The sequence below is a fragment of the Homo sapiens genome, chromosome 17, assembly GCF_000001405.40.
Source record: "Homo sapiens chromosome 17, GRCh38.p14 Primary Assembly".
Taxonomy (NCBI): domain Eukaryota; kingdom Metazoa; phylum Chordata; class Mammalia; order Primates; family Hominidae; genus Homo; species Homo sapiens.
In genome coordinates this window covers 55,985,695-55,991,770 of record NC_000017.11, presented here as the reverse complement: position 1 = coordinate 55,991,770, position 6,076 = coordinate 55,985,695, and the positions used below count along the sequence as shown (strand labels likewise).

Here is a 6,076-nt window from a genome sequence, read left to right as displayed (position 1 = left end):
GAGTGTGGTTCTTATCACATTCTTTTAAAATGGGTGAGCCGCTGCTTCCTACCAGATTGTGTCTCTCCTGAAGGCAGGTGTTAGGTCTCACTGCTCCACCCCCTATTTGATGAGACCTGGGCAAACCTTCTGAATCAGTCCCAGGTAGGTCCAGGGTCAGGAGTCCTGATACTAGGTAGAAAAAAAAAGAGACTGTCTTAAAGCTCAGTATAGATCTGGTCTAGAAACATAGCCATGATCAAGTTTCAGAGACCTAAATGAAGCTGGAGGAGGAAGATGAAGCCATAGGTGAGAGGCAGAAGCTTCTGAGAATGTGTGAGGAAGGTAGGCTTAGGTACCAGGGGTCAAAGTGGGACAGCAAATGAAATAAGAGTGACTAAGACTGTCGCCTATGAAAGCCATGTTGTGTGTGTGAGGGAGAGAGGAAAGGTGTCTGCATGCATTCATCTGTGCCTCCCTAGTGCTTATTGCAGGACTGGGCCACACAGGGTTGCTGCCTTGTGTTCTGATTCCTCAGGACAGGTGGCCAAAAGCTCTGCCTTCAATCTATTATGTTTCATTCCTTCTTTTTTAATGATAAAAGGAGGACTTACTAACCAAAGAAAACAGAGCAGCAAGGAGAACCCACAGATAACCCAACGTCAAAGCCACAGGGAGAAAAAAATGGACAGATGACCTACTGGAAAGAGGCTCTGTTGCTTTTCCCCTAAAAAGTGAAAGAATGGCAACTGCCTGGAGCATTGTTCTGGCAGACTTCAGCGAGGGGCTTTGTTCAGTCTCAGGGGATGTTTCAGGAGGAGCTCCTCGAGCAGTCTCCCTTGAGCACAACAGAGAGAAGTTTGCTCCCCACAGTGCCACTTTGCTGGTGTCCATCACCACACTCCATGTGGCAAGCTGTAGTGGAGGCTGTGGAGGGTGCAGCGAGGACTTCAAAGGAAAAGCCGACTATAAATAATCTGGTGACAGAAGGCTAGTGCTGTCTGTCCCTTCCCTTCCCTCATCACGTCAGCAGACAGCGGGGGGAGGCCAGAGACTTCAGAGTGGCTCCGTGGCTCTTCTGCCTGGCTCTCCTACTTGAGAGATAACAGCACAACACTAGGGAAACTCAGCTGCTTATGGTCACTGTCCTGGTACCAACTGTTCTTTGTGGGAACCCTCCTTATCCATGCCTGTGTTCATCACATACCTAAGATGCTCGCACAACAGGGGCTGACGCAGCAGGGTTTAGGACACAGCCGGGTGCTCATGATGGCTCTGAGAGAGGTGGGAGGAGGCAGCATAAGGAAGTGCAGACTTCCTGGCCCACAGGTGTGTCAGTGCACTCAGGTTGGCTGTGAACACCTGGAGGGCTGGGAGCCAAAGTACCGTCAAATTCCAGAATCTACATGATCAGCACTAGGTGATCAATTAATGTTGGCTGAAAACAGAAATGGTTGATGATGAAATAGCAGGATATAAAATGCATTCTGAAGCTTAAACGCCACTTCAGAATTGCCAAAGTCACAAGAGCTATGCCCGGCATGGTGTTAGTCTCTTTACTTGAATCATCTTATTAACTACCAAGACCTTGAGCTGAGGAAACCGAGGATTGACATAGTACTTTCCTGTAGCCTTGTCTATTGTTAAACAGTTAATCACTAACAGATAAAGGATCAGTGCTCAAGGAGCCCTTTGCAAAGCCCTCCACTCTGAAGTACTGTGCTATCCCATCCCAGTTACATCTCAGGTCTATGTGGTTTCATTCTTGAATAAATAAGTACAAGTTCAAATGTCACCCCATTTTACAATTATTTTCTCATGGGGCATCTGTTTGTATGAGAGTCAAAGTCGTTTCTCTGAAGTTTCCCTGCTGAAGAAAAAGGCATTCTGAAAAATTCTTATTGGAGTGATGTTTAAATTCATAGATTTGATTGAAAAGCTAGAGCAAAAAACCACCAAAATGCTTAGGAGGTGGCAGGGAAGGAGGGTAGTGATCAGTGCTCTAAAGCACAGCTGTCTGGGAACCTGCAACTTTTTGAAACAAGATTTAGGGACCTGTGGTGGGGAAGCAGACTTCAAGGCACGTTCCCACCTTATTAGACTGATAAATAGAATGCTACTCTTGCAGGGCAGGATATGTTCTTGTTACTTTTGTCAGTACAGCTCCTAAAGAGTAAGGTTATCCTTCTCTATCTTTCTTTACAGAAGTAAGAGAGGGGAAAGGAACAAAGATGATGTTTACTTCAAAATTCACATTAACAAAAATATCTCAATAGCAAAAGTCACCTCTTCTTCCATTCCACCCCCTCAGCACTTCTGTCTAGTTTTCACCAGTCTGATTTTAACTCATGGGAGACCAAGCTAAATCCAGCAGCAAGGTTTTCGTACACCAGCCGGAATGACTTCAGAGTTGCAGGCGAATGAAGCAAACTCCCCCAAATGCAGCCCTTGAAAAATCAGATAAACACTGTTCTTCATGTGCTGGGAAAGCTGATGAACAAAAATGAGAAGCCTTGAAACCTGATAAAATTACTTCCCTGAACCCCTGTGAGTCCTTCCCTCTGGGAAGAGAGGAGAAAGGAGGAGAAAATGTCTGACACGCACAGCAAATGGGTCATCTATTTGTGAGTTGTGTGTGAGATTTCCTGTGGGAGGGACACTAAGTGATAATAGGAACACCTGTCTCGGTAATGCCAACACAGAACTTGTCTATCAACACTTGCTTCATCTCCAGCTGAACTTGGTGTTGTTTTCTCTGTAGAGGCAGCTGGAGTTTAGTGAAGAGAGGTGGACCAGCTTCGAGGAGGCTGGACTTGGGTTAGAGTCTTAGCATATCTCTGTGACTTTGGTCTGATTATTTGAGACAATGAATTCTGGAGAGACAAGCAAGCCAACAGACTTCTGCTGAGATATTAGATGGCTTTACTATCTTCAACTTAGCCCACAGGAATCAGGGCAGCCCTGTCTCATGTCACCTCTTAAGCTGCATCTTACATCATGCTTCCTTCTCCTGGTTCTTTATGATTCAGGCACACTGGCCTTTTAGTACCTCAAACTCCGCTCATGTGACATAATGCCCTGCACATACTCTTTCCTCTATCTGAAGAATGGATACGCCACTGTCACCCCAACCCCACAACTCTGCGTGCTGAACTCTGACTCATCACCCACCTGGTGAAGCATTCATTCATCCCTGTGCCAGGCTAGTTATTGGCTCCCATGTACAGCATCTTGGAGCTTCATTTCCAGCATGCTCCAGAGCTGTAATTTCATATTTGCTTGTATATTGTACACGATCATAAGCTCCATGAAGTCAGGGATGTGTCTCTGTTTTGCTGAATCCCCAGTTTTGACACTTAGCAAACAGTAAATAGCTAATAGTCCAGTCACTGAGTAACATTTACTGAGCCTCAGTGTCCCCTTTTGTAAAATGTCAACATTAATACCTGTTTCACAGGATTATGTCACAATTAAATGTGTTAAAGTATACTGAAGTCTATAAAAGCACCTAACATGGTCCTGGTTTCCAGCCTCATTGCTCCAGTGAATGTGCTCCTGTTAAAATCACCAAAGACCTATGGATAAGACAAATCCAAAAGTTACTTCTTTGTTTCTGTGGTGGAGACAGTAGTGCTCACCACATCCAAAATCCCATTGTGTCCCTTACATTTCTTAGTTTCCTTGTAAACAGTCAGAATCATGTGACTAGTGCTGGTCAGTGAAATGTGTGCCAAGACATTGTGTCAGCATTGTCTCAGCAATATCTCAGCATCTCAAACTTAGCGTGTCCGGGAGTAAATATGTTACATTTTCTCCTATTCTCTTTTAGATGGAGGCAGTGATGTGCTCATGTGTGGTCTCCAGCCTCTTTTCTTCCATCCCAGTGGCTAGGATGGTTCAGGATCCATATGCTGTGGTTATAAGATGGGGAAGCCTCAGCCGTCCCAGGTCCTTGAGTAACAACATGGAGTATCAACCAGCAATGGCCGTATAATACAAGTAAGAAGTAAACCTTTGTTTTCTTAAGCCAAGGGGGTTTTGGAGTTAATTTGTCATTGTAGCATGTACCTAATGAATACAGACCTTATCATACTCCACTTCTGCATCATTTAGGATTCTTATCCAGAACAATCTCTTTGGAATAATTTACATCTCTGGCTTCTGGAAGTCCCCTCTCTCCTTATTCTCTTCCCTCTCAGACATTGTCTCAGTAGCCTTGAAGCTCTTCTCTTCATCTACCCATGTTCCTTCAAGAGATTGTTCCCTAGGGCTTTTTCCTTGGTTTCTATTTTCTATTGCTCTCCATACTTTCCATAAATTATTTTATAAAGGCCTGTATCTGCAACAATCAAATTTATCCCAACAGGCTCTAAATTTATATTGCCAGATCATTCCTTTCTTTTGAATAACAGGATCATATGTTTAATTACCCCTTGGACATCTGTGCCTGGGTGTTCCCATAAGCATCTCAAACTTAGCATGTCCAAGAGTAAATATATTACATTTTCTCCCAATCTCTTTTCTTCCTATAATCTACATTAACCTAAACACCACAGTATGTTTTTCAATACTCTGGGTGCAATTGCCATAAATACACCACAAACTAGTACAAACAAAAAGAAATATACCGGTTTATATAATAACTAGAGTGTTTAGGGGATGGAACTGGCTCTGAGGCTTCTGAGAATCCAAATGCTGTCTCTATATATGGACCTCTATATATGTCCGGTGCTCTCTTCTCCCTCTCTCTCTTTTCTATGTCTCAAACTCTTTTAGTCTTTTGTAATGGGGAAGTGAAAAAAGTGGGGGCAGAATACATGGCCGTAGACTTTTCTAGCTTAATATTATCCCAGCTTAATGACCTCAGGAAAAGAATAAAGCCACTTTCTACTGGTATCTGTATATAAAATATCAGGGAAGAGCCTGATCGCTCCTTGGCAAATCACTGTATGCAGGGGATTAGTGAACTAAGATGGTTATAAATGCATCACAAGCCCTATTCTAGAGCCAGAAAGCCTTGTACGGTTATTGATAGAGGCTACACAAGGGCCACATGGAGTGGAGAGTTATTCCAGTGGAAGGGGCACTATTTGTAGAGGGATGACAGAATATTGAGTGGACTTCTGTTTTATCTATTCTCCAGCTTAGCTTGTACTTCTCCTTACTCACAAACTCTACATTCCAGCCATGGAAAACCCATCAGTTTTCCCAACACACCAACTTGATATATGACTCTACTTCCTTGGACACTCATTTATCTTTTCTTGAAATGCTGAGATATCCCAAAAATGATTTGGAAAACTCCTACTCATCCTCAAGAGTTCCCTTGGGAAGCCTGTCCTGATTCTTGAAAGGAGACATGATCATTGCCATCTAGGGCCCCAAGTGCTTTTTTGTTTTTTTGTATGCATCTACTACAACACTTATACCATATGAGAACATTCCTTCATACAGCAATCCTTAGTACAGTATTTGGGCACTTTGAGGGTGAAGTGGATCATAATCATGTTTGCAATTTCCATACCTACATGGCATTCTTGCTTGAATGGCACAATAAATATTTGTCAAATCTGAACCTAACTGTGCAATAACTCACCTCTTTGAGTGCACTCATTCATCTATTCATTTGGGAAATTATTGTTTTGTTCTTCCTGTGTGCTAGGCATAATTCAAAGTGATGTACATACATAGACAGCAAGACTGATGAGATGCAGGCCCTCAAGCAGCTTCTATTTTAGTAGTGGGAAACAGACAATAAATTCCTAAATCAACAAATAAAAATATTTTTTCAGACAATGAGGGAGATATGAAGAAAATACAATAGAGTAATGGGGCAGAGCTTGTAAAGGCTGAGGAATACTTTAGTCATGGAATCTGAGTGATAGTGCCTACTGATAATTAGGCAGCCCTGCATAGGTCTGGGGCAGAGAATATATATCAGGAGCAAAAGGTTTGATGAGTGTGCTTGGGGAACAGAAACAGGCCAGAGTGAATGCAACATGGTGAGCCAGGGAGAGGCTGGTGGAAGATGAGGCATGACAGGTAGGCACAGTCAAATTATGTAGAACTTTGAAGAACATTGGATCTTGCTCCACTT

The 6,076-nt window shown here is 43.1% G+C and overlaps 2 annotated features.

The window, feature by feature from the left end:
* Positions 951 to 1,561: an enhancer, noted in NCBI's record as "OCT4-NANOG hESC enhancer chr17:54067571-54068181 (GRCh37/hg19 assembly coordinates)". NCBI's record gives its function as "activates a minimal SCP1, AML or CMV promoter by ChIP-STARR-seq in primed H9 embryonic stem cells {active_cell/tissue: H9 hESC(primed)}" and the evidence as "EXISTENCE:reporter gene assay evidence [ECO:0000049][PMID:30033119]".
* Positions 2,306 to 2,516: a silencer, noted in NCBI's record as "fragment chr17:54066616-54066826 (GRCh37/hg19 assembly coordinates)". NCBI's record gives its function as "represses an EF-1alpha promoter that drives an FKBP-Casp9 reporter gene in an ReSE screen in K562 erythroleukemia cells {active_cell/tissue: K562}" and the evidence as "EXISTENCE:reporter gene assay evidence [ECO:0000049][PMID:32094911]".